The 23,629-nt window shown below is 36.7% G+C and overlaps 1 pseudogene across 1 annotated transcript in view; it reads left to right on the top strand.

Annotated features, from left to right (window-relative positions):
• Window positions 1-23,629, top strand: part of CHMP1B2P (charged multivesicular body protein 1B2, pseudogene) — a 106,830-nt pseudogene that overhangs the window by 37,109 nt on the left and 46,092 nt on the right. Inside the window, exons 3-5 of the transcript NR_110646.1 lie at window positions 7,186-7,332; window positions 8,439-8,546; window positions 9,153-9,304. The product of NR_110646.1 is annotated as a charged multivesicular body protein 1B2, pseudogene (transcript). The remainder of the gene's footprint in view (window positions 1-7,185; window positions 7,333-8,438; window positions 8,547-9,152; window positions 9,305-23,629) is intronic.

The raw sequence follows: 23,629 nt of genomic DNA, 5'->3' as shown, positions 1-23,629 counted from the left end.
GTCCTGTTTTATTTTCAATAAAGGACTTGCTACTAATATAGTTGCCTTGTTTTTTTTCATTTTTTTTTTGGTCTCTTTTTACCAGTAGGGACCTTGTCCTACTCAGTTTTGTATGTCCAGCGCCTGATACATAATAGGCATTCAATGAGTGTCAGTAGACATACGAATGGATGAAGGGACCTGCCTACCCCCTTTGCTATTATTTATATTGTGATTAGCTATTTTTTGGAACTTGATTTTTTAGATTAATAAAACAGTATTCTATCATATTAATGTTACTTAATTTTCCTTTTATTATTGGACATATAAGTGATAGCTAACCTATTTTTTGTTACTTTAAATACCACCATAAGTGAACATTATTTTTTTTTTGCATTTTGTAAAAGTAGAAATTTAATTGAAGTAACATGCAGAAATTATACAAGTACAGCTTCTTGATGAATTTTCACAAATGATATAAGCATTTAGATGAGAAAACAGAACTTATCAGAATATAAATCTCCTTATGCCCCCTTAACAGGCACTACTCCATCGAGAGTAACCTCCGCCCCCTTAACAGGCACTACTCCATCGAGAGTAACCTCCCTCCTGACTTTCAAACACCACAGATTAGTTTTGTCTTTTGAACTTTTACATAAGTGGATTTATGTGGCATAAACCCTTTTGTGTCTGGCTTCCTTTTGCTCAGCATATATGTGGGATTCATTCATATTGTTAAGCATAATTGCAGTTTCTTCAATCTCCCTTCTATGTAGTGTTAAGATTTTTCTTAGTGTTTTGTAGTTTTCAGTATAAGCATCTTTTTTTTTTTTTTTTTTTTTTTGGAGACAGGGTCTCTAGCCCAGGCTGTAGTGCAGTGGTGTGATCACAGCTCACTCTATCCTCAACTTCCTAGGCTGAAGTGATCCTCCCAGCCCAGCCTCCCTCATAGGCAGGACCACAGGCACAAACCACCATGCCCAACTAAGTTTTTTTCGTATTTTTTTGTAGAGATGGAGTTATAAATCTTTATGTTAATCTGATTGTGTCCTTAGTATGAGTTCCTGGAAGTAAAATTGCTGGGTCAGAGAGTATGTTTTGATTGTTATTTACATCTTGTGAAGTTGTTGAATTTAAAAGAGAAGAGAATCCATGTGACTTGGTGATATTTCCATAATCCATTTATTCTTCCACTCTCTTAAATGGCAATTTTATATTTTTTCTTCTCTTTTTAAAATCTCAAAAGACTCCTCTCCCACTCTCACTTTCAGCTGATGACCATGCTTTCTATTTCATTGAGAAATCTCTGACTACTATACTTACCTGCATCTCTGCCCAGAAACTCTCCCTTCCCTTCCCACAATACATGAACTGTCCATACTCCTAGCAACGACCAACTCCTCCCTTTGTGTACTAGGTTCCATCCCTCTTTCCTACCAGATGTTACTGCCCTAGAAGTTCTCTCTCCTGCATCACCAGTTTTACTCTTTCTCCTGAATCAGTCCTATCAGCATACAAACATCCTTAAATCTTTTTTTTTTTTTATACTTTAAGTGCTAGGGTATGTGTACACAGGGACATCCTTAAATCTTTAAAAGCTGTCTCCTGACAGCTGGCATGGTGGCTCATGCCTGTAATCCCAGCACTTTGGGAGGCCGAGGCGGGCGGGTCACCTGAGATTGGGAGTTCGAGACCAGCCTGACCAACATGGAGAAACCTCGTCTCTACTAAAAATACAAAATTAGTCGGGTGTGGTGGCACATGCCTGTAATCCCAGCTATTCAGGAGGCTGAGGCAGGAGAATCGCTTGAACCCGGGAGCTGGAGGTTGCAGTGAGCCAAGATTGTGCTATTGCACTCCAGCCTTGGCAACAAGAGTGAAACTTAACTTCATCTCAAAAAAAAAAAAAAAAAAAAAGAAAGAAAACTGTCTCCTGACTCCATTTTAATCTCTTGCTATTCTTCCTTCTCTTTGTATTTCTTTTTATTTATTTATTTATTTTTTTAATTATTATTATACTTTAAGTTTTAGGGTACATGTGCACAACGTGCAGGTTTGTTACATATGTATACATGTGCCATGTTGGTGTACTGCACCCATTAACTCGTCATTTAGCATTAGGTATATCTCCTAATGCTATTCCTCCCCCTCCCCCCACCCCACAACAGGCCCCGGTGTGTGATGTTCCCCTTCCTGTGTCCACGTGTTCTCATTGTTCAATTCCCACCTATGAGTGAGAGCATGCGGTGTTTGGTTTTTTGTCCTTGTGATAGTTTGCTAAGAATGATGGTTTCCAGCTTCATCCATGTCCCTACAAAGGACATGGACTCATCATTTTTTATGGCTGCATAGTATTCCATGGTGTATATGTGCCACATTTTCTTAATCCACTCTATCATTGTTGGACATTTGTGTTGGTTCCAAGTCTTTGCTATTGTGAATAGTGCCGCAATAAACATATGTGTGCATGTGTCTTTATAGCAGCATGATTGATAATCCTTTGGGTATACATCCAGTAATGGGATGGCTGGGTCAAATGGTATTTCTAGTTCTAGATCCCTGAGGAATGGCCACACTGACTTCCACAATGGTTGAACTAGTTTACAGTCCCACCAACAGTGTAAAAGTGTTCCTATTTCTCCACATCCTCTCCAGCACCTGTTGTTTCCTGACATTTTAATGATCGCCATTCTAACTGGTGTGAGATGGTATCTCATTGTGGTTTTGATTTGCATTTCTCTGATGGCCAGTGATGATGAGCGTTTTTTCATGTGTTTTTTGGCTGCATTAATGTCTTCTTCTGAGAAGTGTCTGTTCATATCCTTCGCTCACTTGTTGATGGGGTTGTTTGTTTTTTTCTTGTAAATTTGTTTGAGTTCATTGTAGATTCTGGATATTAGCCCTTTGTCAGATGTGTAGGTTGCAAAAATTTTCTCCCATTTTGTAGGTTGCCTGTTCACTCTGATGGTGGTTCTTTTGCTGTGCAGAAGCTCTTTAGTTTAATTAGATCCCATTTGTCAATTTTGGCTTTTGTTGCCATTGCTTTTGGTGTTTTAGACATGAAGTCCTTGCCCATGCCTATGTCCTGAATGGTATTGTCTAGGTTTTCTTCTAGGGTTTTTATGGTTTTAGGTCTGACACTGAAGTCTTTAATCCATCTTGAATTAATTTTTGTATAAGGTGTAGCATTCTTATACACCAATAACAGACAAACAGAGAGCCGAATCATGAGTGAACTCCCATTTACAATTGCTTCAAAGAGAATAAAATACCTAGGAATCCAACTTACAAGGGATGTGAAGGACCTCTTCAAGGAGAACTTCAAACCACTGCTCAATGAAATAAAAGAGGATACAAACAAATGGAAGAACATTCCATGCTCATGGGTAGGAATAATCAATATCGTGAAAATGGCCATACTGCCCAAGGTAATTTATAGATTCAATTCCATCCACATCAAGCTACCAATGACTTTCTTCACAGAATTGGAAAAAACTACTTTAAAGTTCATCTGGAACCAAAAAAGAGCCCGCATCGCCAAGTCAATCCCAAGCCAAAAGAACAAAGCTGGAGGCATCACGCTGCTTGACTTCAAACTATACTACAAGGCTACAGTAACCAAAACAGCATGGTACTGGTACCAAAACAGAGTTACAGACCAATGGAACAGAACAGAGCCCTCAGAAATAATGCCGCATATCTACAACCATCTGATCTTTGACAAACCTGACAAAAACAAGCAATGGGGAAAGGATTCCCTATTTAATAAATGGTGCTGGGAAAACTGGCTAGCCATTTGTAGAAAGCTGAAACTGGATCTCTTTGTATTTCTAACAAAACTGTATGAAAGAGTTATGTATATTTATTAATTCTTTCCAATTACTCTTCTTTCATTCTCTGCTGTACTCAATCCATTTATGGTTATACCACCACCATTCACTAAAATTGAAGCTTTTACTTTGGTCTAGTGGTCAGTTGACCTACCACTAGCTTTTGTCACAATGTGACTTCCCAATGTACATCTCTGGCCTAGCCTTTTCCCTTGAACTCCAGACTCCTCTATCCACCTGCTTATTTCATGTTTCCACTTGGATGTCCAAGGAGTAAACCAAACTTAAAACTGAAGCCCTTATGTGGCATCCTTTCCAATATGGTTTTTCTAAAATCAGTTAAAGGTAATTCTGTTAGACAAAATCAAAACCAAACATTATTAGAGTACAGTCATGTTTTAGCCCTCTGTTTTTTCATATATTACATCTGATCTATCAGCAAATCTTACCATTTCTACCTTTAAAATGTATTCAAAATCTAATCATTTCTTATCCAATGTCTAATGCACCTACCGTGACCCAAGCTATCATTATATCTTACCTCAGTTAGTACAGTGAACTTCTAATTTGTCTCCCTGTTCCTGACTCTTGTCCCCTAAGTATTATCTTAACACAGCGGCCAGAGAGAGCATTTTAAAAACAGAAGCCAGATCATGTCACTTGTCTGTTCTTGTTCTCATCCTACTCCAAGTAAAGCCAGAGTCTTAAAATGGCCTATAAAGCCATATATGATCTGACTATTATCTATCTGATTCCATCTGCTCTTCTACTCTTCATTCACTCTGCTTCAGACACATTGTACTACTGTGTAAATGACACATGCTTGCATAAGCTCCCCTTTTTTGCTCTTTTTCTTCCTGCTGTGCTGAATATCCATATGACTAGGTTCTTATCTTCCTTCAGCAGAGAGAAAACCATTTTTCTTTCAGGTATTTACTTAGATGTCACCTTCACAGTAAGTCTTTCTGGGCTATCTTCTGTAAAATTTCAACAACCGCAATCCTAACTCTTCCTATCCTCATTCCCTGCTCTATTTTTACTTCCTGATACCTGCCACTAGTTAACATACTATTTTAATTATCTGGTTTATAGTCAGATTCTTTAACTAGAATATAAGCTCCATAACAACAGGGGTTTTTGTGTTTTGGGTTCACTACTGAATTCCACATGCCTAGAATACTGTCCGGCATTTGCTAGATGCTCAGTAAATATTTGAATAAATGAATGTATGTATATTAAGACAGTTACCTCTAGGATATGAGACAGGGCAACTGGGGTAGGAGGAACACCTGATTATTAACTATATGCTCTTTTCCACTTGAATACTGTACCCGTGTGCATGCATTTGTTTTATAATGTGAATTTTAAAACTAGCTAAAATAACAAAAATTAGGCACCAGACAAAAATATTTTAAGTATATTTAAGGAGGAAAAGAGGGAATACTTCAGTAAATGGCATTAGAAAACTATAGATCACTACATTATACTTTTCACCAAAATAAATGCTAAATTTAGTAATTAAAAGATTAAAATGCCAAAATTACCTTGAGATACAGATGGATGTTTTGAGCATAGTAAAAAACCATAAAGGAAATACCTGACTATAAAAGAATTAGACATTTTTATATCAGACATACACAAAATAGCAGTTCATCCAACAATCTAGAAAAGGCCATATATAACAAAAAGTAATTTTCGTATGAAATGTTCTTGCAAATCAATAAGAAAAAGCCCAAGAAAGATGGACAAAGACACAAATGGCTCAAGAAAGAAGAAGTACAAATGGGTAAGCATAAAGATTTTAACTTCACTTTTAAGCAAAGAAATACAACTGTCTACCACTTTTCACCTCTCAGATATATCTCATAATACCTCATATTGATGACTATGCAAGAGAAGCAGAAACTCTCTTATACTGCTGGAAGAGATGTAAGTCCCTACCAGAATTAGGTGTGGGACAATTAAAATTGTGCATACCTCTGCATCCAGTAATTCTGAATCTGGGAACTTATCTTATGAAGATTCTTGGAAAGTGTGTAGGGTTGCATGTACTAGTGTGGTTATCACATTGCTCTTTATATTATTGAAGAATTGAAAAAAATATAATAATCAGAGATCCAATATTCGATGTCAAATTTCAGTCACTTTTAAATGTTTATTTTTATTTTTGTGAGTACATAGTAGGTGTATGTATCTATGAGGCACATGAGATGTTTTGATACAGGCATGCAATGTGAAATAAGCACATCAAGGATAATGGGGTATCCATCCTCTCAAGCATTTATCCCTTGAGTTACAAACAATCTAATTACCTTCTTGGTTTTGCCATATTGGAGGACCATGTGAGCTATTTATTTACTTTTTTTAAAAATTGACTTAACTTTAGCTCTGTCCTAAGCTTTTATACCAGAAAAAAACATGGATTTATGTTAGTTACATTATTTTCATATAACATTTAAATAAATGCATAGAAAAGAAACTTAAATCTATATAACATGTAGTATCATTTGCTGTACCATCAGTAGTGTTTGTAGCACATGAAAACCCTGGTTAATGGTACATCCTTACAGTTCAGCCTTTAGAAATAATGACGTAGTTATATATTTTTGACTTTAAAACATTTTTTAAAAAATATATTACATGAAAAAACAAGTTCCAAAACAGTATGCTCTATGTATGTACTTTTGTAATATATTTATATAGTAATAAATATATTTATGTACTTGGAATGCCCTATGCTAAAATATTAACAGTGGTAATGGCTCAGTGATGTTATTATGGGCAATTTTTTACAGTTTTATGTTCTCCCCTCCCTTCCCCTCCCCTCCCCGTCCCTTCTTTTCGATGGAGTCTCTGTCGCCCAGGCTGGAGTGCAGTGGCGTGATCTCAGTTCACTGCAACCTCCACCTCCCGGGTTCAAGCGATTCTCCTGTCTCAGCCTTTTGAGTAGCTGGGATTACAGGTGCACGCCACCACACCCGGCTAATTTTTGTATTTTTAGTAGAGACGGGGTTTCACCATGTTGGTCAGGCTGGTCTCGAACTCCTGACCTCATGATCTGCCTGCCTTGGCCTCCCTAAGTGCTGGGATTACAGGCGTGAGCCACCGTGCCCAGCCTATGTTCTAATTTCTTAAACTATCAATGAATATATATTTTCTAATCATAAGATTAAAAATTATGGGACTATATATTCTCCTAATAATTAAGTGCATAATTATTTCCTGAAAAGCTAATTATAAGCTCTTACAGATTATAGGTTAATTTGGGGTTATTTTCCTCTTTTTAAAATATGTGTACTTTTGCTCTCTGTCTTTGCCAATATTTACTTTTGATCTTTGTTTTTGCCTTTATTTGCTTTTGCTCTGTTTAAAACAGGCTATTCAGAAAGGCAATAAGGAAGCTGCAAGAATACATGCTGAAAATGCAATCCACCAGAAAAATCAAGCAATTGATTTCTTAAGAATGAGTGCTAGAGTTGGTGCTGTGGCAGTCAGAGGTCAAAATGCAGTAACAATGGGCAGGGTAAGACTTGAGATCTATAAATATCAGAACTCAAAATTTGTTGCAGGGTGCTACAGGGTGCTGGTAAAGGTGCGACATATTCAAAGTACTTGGTGAGGAAAGTGATTTTGGCAGTGGATTTTGAACTAAGATTTAATTGTCTTTTTAAAAAACTTGTATTTTAAGTTCAGGGGTACATGTACAGGATGTATAGGTTTGTTACATAGGTAAATATGTGTCATGGGGGTTTGTTTTACATATTATTACATCACCCAGGTATTAAGCCTAGTATCCATTAGTTATTTTTCCTGATCCTCTCCCTCCTCCCACCCTTCACCCTCCAGTAGGTCCCAGTGCACATTGTTCCCCTCTATGTGTCCTTGTGTTCTCATCATTTTGCTTCCATTTATAAATGGGAACATACGGTATTTGGTTTTCTGTTTCTGCATTAGTTTGCTAAGTTTAATGGCTTCCAGCTCCATCTATGTCCCTGTCAAGAACATGGTCTCATTCTCATTCTTTTTAATGGCTACGTAGTATTCTATGGTATATATATATACCACATTTTCTTTATCCAGTCTATCATTGATGAGCATTTAAGTTGATTCCATGTCTTTGCTATTGTGAATAGTACTGCAATAAACATACATGTGCATGTGTCTTTGTAGTAGAATGATTTATATTACTTTGGGTATATACCCAGTAATGAGATTGCTGGGTCAAATGCTATTTCTGTCTCTCTTCTCTAGGTCTTTGAGGAGTCACCACTCTGTCTTCCACAATGGTTGAATTATTTGTCTTTTAATGAAGTGAAAAGTCAAAGAAATAAGATAGCCAATGCCTAGACTATAAATACATAACATTGTATATTTCTGTTAAAGAAAAGGTAGACAAGTTTCATAAGTTGATTTGTAAGTAATATATTTAGGAGACTACAAAAACTTTGAGACTGTTTGTATCATAGGATACTGTTTGTTTTTATCCTCCAAATAGGTAACAAGTCCATGTGAGGCATAGTTAAGTCTGTGGGTGCTTCATTGAGGAGTAGAACCTTGAAAAAAAAGAATTATGTTCAGACAGCATCTTTTCAGTGTAAGTTTTTCTGATAACCACATTTATTTTTACAGACTTCTGCCTTGATGGACAAATTCAAACACCAGTTTGAAACACTGGATATTCAAACACAACAAATGGAAGATAAAATGAGTAGCTCTACAACCCTAATAACACCACAAGTAAGTATAGCTTCTCTACTTAGAATAACTTTTTAAAATTATCTCACTTCAAATTATAATGGTATTGTGAGCCTAAATGATCTCTAGAATGCTAAATAAACATAGTGTGTCTTCACAATGATGGTAGGAAGTTACTGCTCATCCCCCAGATTCCTGAGGAGGCGTTTTCCCTAGCTTGTTTTGAAGTTCTGGGAATTGTACTGAGTTGTATGTCTAGAGTCTAGATCCTGGTTCTGTCTGACTGCCAGTGGTACTTATTGATAAAGGCCATTGTACTAGAGGCTCACTGACGCCAGTTGGTGTTAGATATTATCCCATGCCTCAGCTAGTTCATCTCATTGCAAATATTCTTATGTTGCCTCCCTACTCTTTAGGTGTTTTGTGTATGCATGAGTCAGAGGTGAACCAAATAGAAAATACAAGATGAATTAATTTTCAGAAAACTAGGATGTTTTCTAAACCTGGAACCTGGACAGAGACCTCCTATGAAGAAAATTAAAATTTGAAATTAGTTTGTGTGTGACACATGTCAGAAACAAAGTTTTGTAAAATTTAAATATTCAGATAGAAAATTTATTTCATTATCACTCTTCTCTCTGATCCCAGCACCTAACATGTGGTTAGTCAAATGAAAAGAGAACTTGTTATTACTACTTTGGATGCTAATATGGAAAAAAATATGATTTACCAAGTCGATTAAGAAGAAATCGACAGCTGTCCATCAACATTTTACCACAAACAGCTCTTTTCACAAAAAGGTAAATAATGAAAGAACAGGCTTATACTCAGGGTTTAGAGTTAAGAAGAAAGAATATATGTGTATATCTTAAATTGAGGATATATTTAACGATTCTTTTATACCCTCCCCTAGAGCTTTGTTCCCCAAAGTGTGTAGGACAAGATTCAGGAGCACTCTCACAACCTGGAAGCTCATTAGGAATATAGAATTTCAGAACCCCACCTCCAGATATATTGAATCAGAATCTTCATTTTAACCAGATTCTGACATGATTTGTATGCACAGAGTTTGAGAAGCACTGTCTTAGAGTTTCTGATTTTTATTCGGTTACCTTAGGAATCCTGAGGTGATTTTATGATCAGTGAAGTTTAGAAAACCCAACTGCATTTGAAAGAACTTGAAGTCAGGACACTTGGATTTATTTTTTTTTTGCTTTTTTTTTTTTTTAATTTGTAATTGACACATAATTATACAAATGTGTGTAGTACAGTGTCAGTGCATGCATACATTCTATAGTGATTAAATCAGCATTGTCATATCCATAATTTTATATGTTTATCACTTTGTGGTGATAACATTCAAAATCTTCTCTTCTAGCTATCTTAAAATATACACTATGGTGTTATTAGTTATAGCTACCTTACTGTATAACACCAGAACTTATCCTTTCTGCCAAACTAACTCTGTACCCATTGACAAATTTCTGCTAGTCCCTCCTTTTACCAGCTCTTTTCCATCCCCAGCCCCTGGTAACCACTATTCTACTCTCTACTTCCATGAAATCAACTTTTTTTGAATTCCACAGATGAGTAAGATCATGCAATGTTTGTCTTTCTGTGCCAGGTTTCTTTCACTTAACCTTATACCCTGCAGGTTTATCCATGTTGAGCAAATGACAGGATTTTATTTTGTGTTATGGCTGAGTAGTGTATTCTATTATGTAGATATACTACATTTTCTTCATCTTTAGATGAAACAAGTTGATTCCATATTTTGGCTATTGTGAATAGTATTGTAATAAACATGGGATTGCAGACATCTCTTTGACATACTAATTTCATTTTATTTGAATATATACCCAGGAAGGGGATTGCTGGATCACATGGAAGTTCTATTTTTTAATTTTTTGAGGAAACTACATATTCTTTTCCATTATATCTGTACTGAATTAATATCCTTACAAACAGTGCCTAAGAATTCTCCTTTCTCCATATCCTCACAAGCAATTGTTATTTTTTGTCTTTTTGATAAGAGCCATTTTCACTGGAGTGAGGTGATATTTCCCTGTGGTTTTGACTCACATTTCCCTGATGATTACCGATGTTGAGCATTTTTTCACATACTTGTTGGCCATTTGTATGTCTTTCGAAAAATGTCTATTCAGGTCTTTTGCAACTACTTTCTCCCATTCTGTAGGTACTTTCTCCACTGTATTTATGTGTTTTTTCCTGTGCAGAAGCTTTTTAATTTGATGTAATTTATCTATTTTTACTTTTGCTGCCTGTGCTTTTTGGTTTGGTTTTTGAGACAGGGTCTTGCTCTGTCACCTAGGCTGGAGTGCATGGTGTGATTATAGCTCACTGTAACTTTGAACTCCTGGGCTCAAGCAGTCCTCCTGCTTTGGCCTCCTAAGTAGCTCGGACTACACAAATGTGCCACTACACCCAGCCAATTTCATTTTTTTTTTTTGTAGAGATGGGGGTCTCACTATGTTGCCCAGTCTGGTCTTGAACTCCTAGCCTCAAGCAATTCTCCCACCTCAGCCTCCCAAAGGTGCTTTTTAAAAAACTATATTTGGGGGTACAGATGGAGCTTTGTTACCTGCATATGCTGCATCGCAGCAATGTCTGAGCTTTCAGTGTAACCATCACACGAATAGACCTGTGCTTTTGTTATCTTATTCAAAAACTCCTTGCCTGATCCAATTTTATGAAGCATTTCCCTGTTTTATTTTATTAGTTTCATAATTTAAGGTTTTTACATTTATGTCTTTAATCCATTTAGAGTTGAGTTTTCTATATGGTAAGAGACAGAGGTCTGTTTTATTCTTCTACATATGGTTGTCTAGTTTTCCCAGCACCATTTATTGAAGAAACTGTTCTTTCCCCAGTGTATGTTCTTGGTGCCTTTGTCAAATACATGTTGGGTGTAAACATGTGGATTTATTTCTGGTTATTCTATTCTGTTCTATTTGTCTGTGTGTTTGTTTTTAGGCCAGTAACATGTTGTTTGGGTTACTATAGCTTTGTGGTGTATTTTAAAGTTAAGTTGTATTAATGCCCCCAGCTTGGTACATTTTGCTCATGATTGCTTTAACTATCCAGAGTCTTTTGCATTTCTGTATGAATTTGAAGATTGTCTTTTTTTTCTATTTCTGGGAAAGTCTCTCTCACCTTGATGTTTGAAGGATAGGCTTGCTGGATACAGTAGTCTTAATTGGCAGGCATTTTTTCTTCAGTACTTCAAGTATTTCATCCCATTTTCTCATGGCCTATAAGGTTTTTGCTAAGTCTGCCAGCAAACCTATCGCAGTGCCTTTGTATACTATTTGCTTCTTTTGTCTCACTGCTTACAGGATCCTCTCTTTGTCCTTGACCTTTGAGAATTTGATTATTTTTGTCTGAGGTGGTCTTACTTGGATTAAATCTGCTTGGTAATCTTTGACCTACCTGCATTTGGATATTTATGTCATTCTCTAGGTTTAGAATGTTTTCTGTTATTTTTTCTTTGAATAAGCTTTCTACCCCTTTCTCTTTCTTTACTCCCTCTTGAAGGCCAATGACTCATACATTTGCCCTTTTGATGCCATCCCATAGATTTCATGAACATTTTTCATTGCTTTTTCTTTTTTTCCTTTATTTTCAAATAGACTGTTGTTAAGCTCACTGGTCCTTTGTTTTGCTTGATTAATTCTCCTAATAAGACAAGAATGCATTTCTTAAATCTCATTCACTGTATTTTTCAGCTCCAGGATTACTGTTTGATTATTTTAATCCCTTTGTAAAATTTCTCTGATATATTTCTGAATTGCTTCTCTTTGCTTTTGTGAAGTTTGTTAAGCTTACTCAAAACACCTGTTTTGGGTTTTCTGTCTGAGAGTACACACATCTCCATCTCTCCAGGGTTGTTCACTGTTATTTTAGTCTGTTTGGTGAGGTCATATTGCCCTTAGTGTTCTTGATTCTTGTGAATGTGCATCGATGTCTGAGCATTGAAAAATTATGTATTTATTCCAGTCTTTGCAGTCTGGCCTTGTATGTCCTCATCCTTCTTCAGAAGGCTTTCCAGGAATTCAAATAAACATGACTGACTTTTGAATTCACTAAGCTTGTGGTCACTGCAGCAGTTTCAGCACTAGAGGGTGCCCTAAGCTTAGGTTTGCTGCCACTCTCTTGAGGGCTTTGAGGCTTCCAGCCCTGATGGACTTGGGAAAATTCAGGGAGAGTTCCCTGGGCAAAGTCCCTCACTCACTTCTTTTCTCTCCAAGTGGAAAGAGTCTTTATCCATGCTATACTGCCTGAGGTTGGGGGAGGGGTGAAGTGGATAGTCTGTGGCCTCTGCAGCTGATGTCACAGTGTGTCAAACCAAAAGCCCCAGACCAGTGCATCACCAGGGCTCAGTCAAGGACTGCAGTTGTGATAGCCTTCCTGCCACTGAAATTTATTCAGAGCCTAAGGCTACTTTTGTCAGCTGTTGGTGAAGCAGGCTGCAACTTGGGTTCATCATGTTGGGACCACAGATTCCCATCTGGCCTGTGGCGGATGTAGGAGCTCCATCCTTGGGCACGAGCCTAGAATGAGGGGCCTTAGGGTTCTGCTTGGTGCTGTGTTTTACTGTGGCAGGCTGGTACTGATTCCAAGGCAAAGTCCCATGCACACTTCCCTCTCCCTCCCCCAAGCAGACAGATTCTCTCTCCACGCTGTGCTGCGTACGGTTGCAGAAAGGGTAATGTAGGCAATGCGAGACTGTCCACCCTCCTTATTGCATCTTTTCTTGTGATTATTCCAAAACCAGGTACTGTGACCATTCGCCTGGTTTCTTTAGCTCTTGTGAAGGTGTTTTTGTTGTTGTTATTGTTTGTTTGTTGTTTTTGTTTGGCATGGATAGTTGTTCAATTTGATGTTCCTGCAGGGGGTGTGATTGCTATAAGGTTCTGTTTCACTATCTTGGTTACTTTGATTTCTAGTCATCACTCTGCTTCTAATTAACTTTGGGACCTTGACTCAGATACTGACTACCCCGGGCCTCAGTTTTCATAACTGTAAAATGTAGGAGTTGGATATGATGATATCTGAAGTGCCTCTCAGCTCATTCACCTGACATTCACTGAGCACCTTCTCCTGTTTCAGGTATTGTGCCAGGTGCTGGAGACATTCATATATATATATATATATATATATATATATATATATATAACATTAGTCATAAAAACTTAACCAAAATTTACAGCAGAAATGGAGAGAGATCTGGCTGAACACACTTAGTTGCCCAAATTCTCACACCCTGCTAATGAGTAGTAATTAGAATTCAAATTGGCACATCCACTTTGGAAAAGCAGTTTGGTAACATCTACAGTCTGTTCTCAGCATAGCAACGAGAGCAATCCTATTAGTACAAGTCAGATCATGTCATTCCTCTCAAAACTTTCAAGTGGTTCAACATTTTCCTCAGTAAAAGCCAGATTGTTTCCAAAGGTCCATAAAGTTCTACATGGCCTGCCTTACCTTGATCTGTCCTGACATGTTATTGCTCATCAGTCTACTCAGGCACCTGGATTTGTTGTTATTTGTCAAACACACCAAGTATATTTCTGCCTGAAAGCCATTCCACTTGTAGTTTCTTCTCCCTTAAATGTTCTTTCTCTAGACATACTCGTTGCTTACTATCTTACCTCCTTTAGGTCTTTAAGTCATTTTTATAGTGAGGTTTTTCCTGACCATCCTACTTAAAATTGCATCAACAGTATACCTACCATGCCTCCTGTTGTCTACCTTCCCTGCTTTATTTTTCTCTACTGTATATATCGCTTTCTAATATACCATATACTTCTTAAAAAATTTATTTGCCCTCCCTTCTCGTGTACACACTAGAATTTAAGCTTAATGAGGGCATCATTGGTGCCTCCCTAGCACGTAAAATATCTGGCATAAAGTAGATGTTCAAAATTTTTGAAGATTGTTGAATAAATCACAGTATATGAAATGTATGTAACCTAGTACTTTCACTTCCAAATTTATACACAAAGCAGCCCCTACATGTGTAGACAATGGTATATATATAGATCAATCTCTTTCTCTCTCTTTACACACACACACACACACACACACACACGTGCGAAAATGTTCATTGCACCATTTTCTATAATAGGGAGAAGTTAAGAAAAATCTAAATTCCAAAAATAGAATGGATAAATAAAACTGAGTCTATTTCTGTGTTGCAACATCATACAGTAATTTAAAGAGAATGAACTAGATATCTAGATCTCGATATAATCTTACAAGGTTGAATGAGGAAAGGAAGTTATGGAATAAAATCATTGTATAATACAATTTAAGTAAATTCTTGTAACACGAATAATGCTATTTTAGATATGAATTAAAACCAAAATGTTAATGCACATAGGAATCTACTATTTCATGAACTTTTTCGATATTTTGGAAATATTTTTAAAGTGAATGAAAGAAAACAAGAACTAAGGCCCAACAGCAAGGTTAGTGATTGGCTTAAAATCATACTCATTGTTAATGGTAGAGCTGGGATCATATCTTAGAATTCCCACCTGTATATTAAAAATATTTTCAATAACTTAGTTAAAAACTAGAAGAGTTTTTTAAATTATTAATCAGACTCTATTGCCTGAGAATGCCTGTACTTTAGTAAATATCTCAATACTTATATTTTATTCATCTCTGACATTTGAAAAAGTTAGCCTTGATATCAGATTTACATCAACTGGCAGAAAGAACAATTCTGATTATTGTAATCTAAAATTTAAATCTATTATACATAATAAAAGTAAAGTGGGTTAGAATGGAGCTTTTACAAATTGGTTCACTTGGAGAGATCTATATTACTAAGATTTAAATTATATGTGAACCTCATTGCTAATATTTCCCCATAACCTCATAGTTTTAAGCTTTAGAATTTAGTATTATTCAGAAAAAAAAAATTTTGAAATTATGCAGCTCCCTCTGGTGGTACAAAATATTTTTTAAATGCTTTCTTTTAAAAAATTAGAGACCGGTTTCCCTCTTTTAAAAGAAAACCAAAAACCATGCAAAAAGCAAATGCTTAATAGAAATCCGCATTTTCTTATTCTATATGCTGCTTCAGGAAATGGCAGATGAAGGTAGGTAAGAAGTTATCCAGGTGATTTTGGAAAATCTTGATTTAATATCTAGAGGTTCTAAAATTCTGTAATATAGATGAAAATATTTCTCTTTACCACGAATTGCCAGAGTTAGGTTTGTGACCCTAGAATTTAGTGTTTCAAGGGACTTTAAACAGTCATCCAATTCCTTGCCATGCTCATAAAAATTTGACTGTGTTTCAGTCATCTTAGTATTTTCTTAAAAATCTCTGGAAATAGATTCATTTAGTGTATGAAAAGAAATAGACAAAGGTGATCAAAGGAAGCAGCAGTGTTTGAACATTTGCTCAATACCTACTGTTCGCTGCATGTATGAAATATATAGTTTTTTTTTTTTAAAAAAAGGACCTTCCAAAATAATTCTGCTGTGATTAGGCCATTGAGTCATAAGTCTAGTTTGAGTACTGCAAACTGAGTAATATGTGCAAAATGTGAAAGGGGCTCAGAAGACAGCAATATTACGCATAATGATTTGGTTGTTTCTTTTAAGTAAATAATTCATACCCTTTTGTGATATTGCTATTGGAAACAGGATATATAATACATGAAGGGCTGTTTATTTCAGGCCCTTCATGTCATGGGAGAATGACTTATCTATGATATCTTTGCTGTAGAAATCATGTTGTATTATTATTCTCTGGTGTAATTTTAGTTCAAGATAATGTAGTAGTAAAAAATAAAAATTGATGCTAATGTTTTATAATGTATTTTCAAAGGTAGAGAACTAGTTTGAAATGAGGCTTAGTCTTATTTTTTTCTTTTCTCCTGGGAAGAGAAGATTTGGACATCTGGAAAATAGAGTTGATAAATCCTATCTAAGCTACTACCTGATTAGAATAAACAGTTAAGTTTATCAACTCTTTAGATCACTAATGCTAAAGAATTAAAATCGAGATTAATAAATTAAAAATCAGGTTTGTAATGTTCGAGAACAGGGCTGTGGGTTAAGTTGTGTGCTATTTTGTTTTGTTAGAATCCTAAAGTAGCCCATATGGAGGGGAACAAGAAAGGTGGTTTTTGTTAAGTATTATAACAAAGGCATTCTGTGTCAGAAGACTCCATCTTTTAAACATAGTCTTTATAAGAGACTAAGGACTTGTTTCTGTTTCTGCTAAAGACTAAATTAGACGATTTGGCTTGAAAATGCAGCAAGGGAAGTTTTATAAAATGAATGCTGCCACATTATGGCCTTACTGACTCTCAGTGGTAAATGAAATCAGTAGGCAACTTTTGGATAAGGTTTAGAGCAGTATTTCACAACCTCGATACTATTGACATTTTGGGATGGATAATCCTGGGGGCTGTCATGTGCACTGTAGAATGCTTAGCAGCATCTCTGGCCTCTACCCACTAGATACCAATGGCACCCCTCCCTACAGTTGTGACAGCCAAGCATGTCTCCAGATATTTCCAGATGTTCCTTGGGGTAGTGACTAAAAAATCAAGAGACTATGTCAATATGTGGTGACTGGCAGTAGAAACAGATATAACCACTGATGTAGAAACACCAATGCCCATCTTTAAAGATGTTTAACTATCTAATTGCTGATTGAGTTAGTGCTTCCCCCAACTAAATTTTATGTCTTTACTTTTTCAATAAAAATCTGTCTATAGAATCTCACAATGGGCTGGGCGCGATGGCTCAAGCCTATAATCCCAGCACTTGGGAGGCCGAGGCGGGTGGATCACCTGAGGTCAGGAGTTCGAGACCAGCCTGGCCAACATGGCAAAACCCCGTCTCTACTAAAAAATACAAAAATTAGCCGGGCGTGGTGGTGCACGCATGTAATCCCAGCTATTCCAGAGGCTGAGACAGAAGAATTGCTTGAACCCAGGAGGCAGTGGTTGCAGTGAGCTGAAAGCATGCCACTGCACTCCAGCCTGGGTGACAGAGTGAGACTCTGTCTCCAAAAAATAATAATAATAATAATAATAAATCTCATAATGACTGTTAATGTCATTATATTATATTCCCTGTAGTATTTTCATACCGGAGTTGGCATACACTCCAATGGTTTAGAGACACGCAGAAAGGATAGTTTATGTACTAGAGGAGTGGTACAGTGGAGATTAAAATCATAGGCTTTGGAGACAGTCAAACCTAGATTAAAATCCTATGTCTATCACTAGAATGATCTCAGACAAGTGTACTTAACTTTTCTGAAACTCAGTTGTATGGCTGGATGCAAATAATGATTCCTGCTAAGGGCAGCCCAGGAGCTAAAAACTGAAATTGAAGTTAACTCAAATATTAGGTGAGGCTAGAGTTATCTAGCCTGTTTTATCTTTTTTAGCATATTAGTTTTCCTTCACAGTAGGAAATGTGGTAATCTACAGTACATCTAATATATTGGATAACCATTAGTTTGGCCTTTTGTTCTGAAGACCAGATCATTTCCCAGTATTATTATCTTTTATATCATAAGATTACCTTCCACGTGGGTCACTTTTAGGACTCAACAAAAATACTTTAAAATTAGTAAATTCATTATCTTAAGGTTGACATTCAGAAGATATTTAAGCTCAATTTATATTTATAAAATTGAACTTGTTTTATTTTTATGTAAACTAAGGTAAAATGGAAGATGGAATATTCAAATTTACAATACATATTAGGTAAAGAAGAAAAATGCCTATATTAACATTCATATGGTAATTATTATTATTTCTTTAAATTTATTTATTATACTTTAAGTTCTGGGATACAGGTGCAGAACATGCAGGTATGTTACACAGGTATACATGTGCCATGGTGGTTTGCTGCACCCATCAACCCATTATCTACATTAGGTATTTCTCCTAATGCTATCCCTCCCCTAGCCTCCCACGTCCTGACAGGCCCTGGTGTGTGATGTTCGCCTCTCAGTGTCCATGTGTTCTCATTGTTCAACTCCCACTTATGAGTGAGAACATGTGGTGTTTGGTTTTCTGTTCTTGTGTTAGTTTGCTCAGAATGATGGTTTCCAGCTTCATCCATGTCCCTGCAAAGACATGAACTCATCCTTTTTTATGGCTGCATAGTATTCCATGGTGTATATATGCCACATTTTCTTTATCCAGTATATCACTGATGGACATTTGGGTTGGTTCCAAGTCTTTGCTATTGTGAACAGTACTGCAGTAAACATACGTGTGCATGTGTCTTTATAGTAGAATGATTTATAAACCTTTGGGTATATACCCAGTAATGGGATTGCTGGGTCAAATGGTATTTCTGGTTCTAGGTCCTTGAGGCATAGCCACACTGTCTTCCACAATGGTTGAACTAATTTACACTCCCACCAACAGTGTAAAAGCATTCCTATTTCTCCACATGCTCTCCAGCATCTGTTGTTTCCTGACTTTTTAATGATTGCCATTCTAACTGGTGTGAGATGGTATCTCATTGTGGTTTTGATTTGCATTTCTCTAATGACCAGTGATGATGAGCTTTTTGTCATATGTTTGTTGGCTGCATAAATGTCTTCTTTTGAGAAGTGTCTGTTCATATCCTTCACCTACTTTTTGATGTTTTTTTTTTTAATTTAAGTTTTTTGTAGATTCTGGATATTAGTCCTTTGTTGTGATGGATAGATTGCAAAAATTTTCTCCCATTCTGTAGGTTGCTGTTGATTCGGATGATAGTTTCTTTTGCTGAGCAGAAGCTCTTTAGTTTAATTAGATCCCATTTGTCTGTTTTGGCTTTTGTTGCCATTGCTTTTGGTGTTTTAGTCATGAAGTCTTTGCCCATGCCTATGTCCTGAATGGTATTGCCTAGGTTTTCTTCTAGGGTTTTTATGGTTGTAGGTCTAACATTTAAGTCTTTAATCCATCTTGAGTTAATTTTTGTATAAATTGTAAGGAAGGGGTCCAGTCTCAGTTTTCTGCAAGGGCTAGCCAGTTTTCCCAACACCATTTATTAAATAGGAAATACTTTCCCCATTGCTTGTTTTTGTCAGGTTTGTCAAAGATCAGATGGTTGTAGATGTGTGATGTTATTTCTGAGGCCTCTGTTCTGTTCCATTTGTCTATATATCTATTTTGGTACCAGTACCATGCTGTTTTGGTTACTGTAGCCTTGTAGTATAGTCTGAAGTTAGGTAGCGTGATGCCTCCAGCTTTGTTCTTTTTGCTTAGGATTGTCTTGGCTATGTGGGCTCCTTTTTGGTTCCACATGAAATTTAAAGTTGCTTTTTCCAATTCTGTGAAGAAAGTCAGTGGTAGCTTGATGGGGATAGCATTGAATCTATAAATTACTTTGGGCAGTATGGCCATTTTCACGATATTGATTCTTCCTATCCATGACCATGGAATGTCTTTCCATTTGTTTCCTGTCTTATTTCCTTGAGCAGTGGTTTGTAGTTCACCTTGAAGAGGTCCTTCATATCCCTTGTAAGTTGGATTCCTAGGTATTTTATTCTCTTGGTAGCAATTGTGAATGGGAGTTCACTCATGATTTGGCTCTCTGTTTATCTATTATTGGTGTGTAGAAATGCTTGTGATTTTTGCACATTGATTTGGTATCCTGAGACTTTGCTGAAGTTGCTAATCAGCTTAAGGAGATTTTGGGCTGAGATGATGGGGTTTTCTAAATATACAATCATGACATCTGCAATCAGACACAATTTGACTTCCTCTCTTTCTATTTGAATACCTGTTATTTCCTTCTCTTGTCTGATTGCCCTGGCCAGAATTTCCAATACTATGTTGAATAGGAGTGGTAAGAGAAGGCATCCTTGTCTTGTGCTGGTTTTCAAAGGGAATGCTTCCAGCTTTTGCCCATTCATTATGATATTGGCTGTGGGTTTGTCATAAATAACTCTTACTATTTTGAGGTATGTTCCATCAATACCTAGTTTATTGAGAGTTTTTAGCCTGAAGGTGTGTTGAATTTTATCAAAGGCCTTTTCTCCATCTATTGAGTTAATGATGTGGTTTTTGTCATTGGTTCTGTTTATGTGATGGATTACGTTTATTGATTTGCATATGTTGAACCACCCTTGCATCCCAGGGATGAAGCCGACGTGATCATGGTGGATAAACTTTTTGATGTGCTGCTGGATTCGGTTTGCCAATATTTTATTGAGGATTTTTGCATCGACATTCGTCAGGGATATTGGCCTGAAATTTTCTTTTTTTGTTGTGTCTCTGCCAGGTTTTGGAATCAGGATGATGCTGGCCTTGTAAAATGAGTTAGGGAGGAGTCCCTGTTTTTCTGTTGTTTGGAATAGTTTCAAAAGGAATGGGACCAGCTCCTCTTTGTACCTCTGGTAGAATTCAGTTGTTAATCTCTCTGGTTCTGAGCTTTCTTTGGTTGGTAGGCTATTAATTACTACCTCATTTTCAGAACTTGTTATTGGTCTATTCAGGGATTCGACTTCTTCCTACTTTAGTCTTGGTAGGGTGTATGTGTCCAAGAATTTATCCATTTCTTCTAGATTTTCTAGTTTATTTGCATAGAGGTGTTTATAGTATTCTCTGATGGTAGTTTGTATTTCTGTGGGATCAATGGTGATATCCCCTTTATCACTTTTTATTGTGTCATTTGATTCTTCTCTCCTTCTTTATTATTCTGGCTAGCAGTCTCTCTATTTTGTTGATCTTTTCAACATACCAGCTCCTGGATTCATTGATTTTTTGAAGGGTTTTTCATGTTTCTATCTCCATCAGTTCTGCTCTGATCTTAGTTATTTCTTGTCTTCTGCTAGCTTTTGAATTTGTTTGCTCTTACTTATCTAGTTCTTTTAATTATGATGTTAGGGTGTTGATTTTAGATCTTTCCTGCTTTCTCCTGTGGGCATTTAGTGCTATAAGTTTCCCTCTGAACATTGCTTTAGCTGTGTCCCTAAGATTCTGGTATGTTGTGTCTTTGTTCTCATTGGTTTCAAATAACTTATTTATTTCTGCTTTAATTTCATTATTCACCCAGTAGTCATTCAGGAGCAGCTTGTTCAGTTTCCATGTAGTTGTGCTGCGGTTTTGAATGAGTTTCTTAATCCTGAGTTCTAATTTGATTGCACTTTGGTATGAGAGACGGTTTGTTATGATTTCTGTTCTTTTGCATTTGCTGAGGAATATTTTACTCCAATTATGTGGTCAAGTTTAGAGTAAATGTGATGTGGTTCTGAGAAGAATGTATATTCAGTTGATTTGTGATGGAGAGTTCTGTAGATGTCTATTAGGTCTGCTTGGTCCAGAGCTGAGTTCAAGTCCTGAATATCCTTTTTAATTTTCCATCTCATTGATCTGTCTAATATTGACAGTGGGGTGTTGAAGTCTCCCACTATTGTTTTGTGGGAGTATAAGTCTCTTTGTAGGTCTCTAAGAACTTGCTTTATGAATCTGGGTGCTCCTATATTGGGTGCATATATATTTACGATAGTTAGCTCTTCTTGTTGCATTGATCCCTTTACCATTATATAATGCCCTTCTTTGTTTTTGTTTTTGTTTTTTTTTTTATCTTTGTTGGTTTAAAGTCTGTTTTATCAGAGACTAGGATTGCAATGCCTGCTTTTTTTTTTTTCTTTTGCTTTCCATTTGCTTGGTACGTATTCCTCCATCCCTTTATATTGAGCCTATGTATGTCTTTGTGAGATGGTCTCCTGAATATAGCACACCGATCGGTCTTGACTCTTTATCCAGTTTGCCAGTCTGTGTCTTTTAATTGGGGCATTTAGGTCATTTGCATTTAAGGTTAATGTTATGTATGAATTTGATCCTGTCATTATGATGCTAGCTCTCTATTTTGCCTGTTAGTTGATGCCGTTTCTTCATAGTGTCAATGGCCTTTACAATTTGGTGTGTTTTTGCAGTGGCTGTACTGTTTTTTTTTTTTTTTTCTATGTTTAGTGCTTCCTTCAGGAGCTCTTGTAAGGCAGGCCTGGTGGTGACAAAATCTCTCAGCGTTTGCTTGTCTGTAAAGGATTTTATTTCTCCTTTGCTTATGAAGCTTAATTTTGCTGGATGTGAAATTCTGGGCTGGAAATTCTTTTCTTTAATAATGTTGAATATTGGCCCTCACTCTCTTCTGGCTTTCTGCAGAGAGATCTGCTGTTAGTCTGATGGGCTTCCCTTTGTGGGTAACCCGACCTTTCTCTCTGGCTGCCCTTAACATTTTTTCCTTCATTTCAACCTTGGTGAATCTGACAATTATGTGTCTTGGGGTTTCTCTTCTCAAGGAGTATCTTTATGGTGTTCTCTATATTTCCTGAATTTGAATGTTGGCCTGTCTTGCTAGGTTGGGGAAGCTCTCCTGGATAATATCCCGAAGAGTGTTTTCCAACTTGGTTACTTTCTCCATGCCACTTTTAGGTACGCCAATCAAACGTAGGTCTGGTCTTTTCATATAGTCCCGTATTCCTGGAGGCTTTGCTCATTCCATTTCATTCTTTTTTCTCTAATCTTATCTTCATGCTTTACTTCATTAAGTTGATCTTCAGTCTCTGATATCCTTTCTTCTACTTGACCGATTTGGCTATTGATACTTGTGTATGCTTCACGAAGTTCTTCTGCTGTGTTTTTCAGCTCCATCAGGACATTTATGTTTTTATCTAAACTGGTTATTCTAGTTAGCAATTCCTGTAACCTTTTTTCAAGGTTCTTAGCTTCCTTGCATTGGGTTAGAACATGCTCCTTTAGCTCGGAGGAGTTTGTTATTATACACCTTCTGAAGCCTACTTCTGTCAGTTCATCAAACTCATTCTCCATCCTGTTTTTTCCCCTTGCTGGCGAAGAGTTGTGATCCTTTGGAGGAGAAGAGGCATTCTGGTTTTTGGAATTTTCAGCCTTTTTGTACTGGTTTTATCTCTTCATGGATTTATCTACCTTTGTTTTTTTGGTCTTTGATGCTGGTGACCTTCAGATGGTGTTTCTGTGTGGACATTCTTTTTGTAGATGTTGATGCTGTTCCTTTCTGTTTGTTAATTTTCCTTTTAACAGTCAGGCTCTTCTCCTGCCGGTCTGCTGGGGTTTGCTGGAAGTTCACTCCAGACCCTG

The sequence above is a fragment of the Homo sapiens genome, chromosome X (assembly GCF_000001405.40).
Source record: "Homo sapiens chromosome X, GRCh38.p14 Primary Assembly".
NCBI classification, from domain to species: domain Eukaryota; kingdom Metazoa; phylum Chordata; class Mammalia; order Primates; family Hominidae; genus Homo; species Homo sapiens.
The sequence above is the reverse complement of the archived record's forward strand: the minus strand, read 5'-3'. Positions and strand labels throughout refer to the sequence as shown.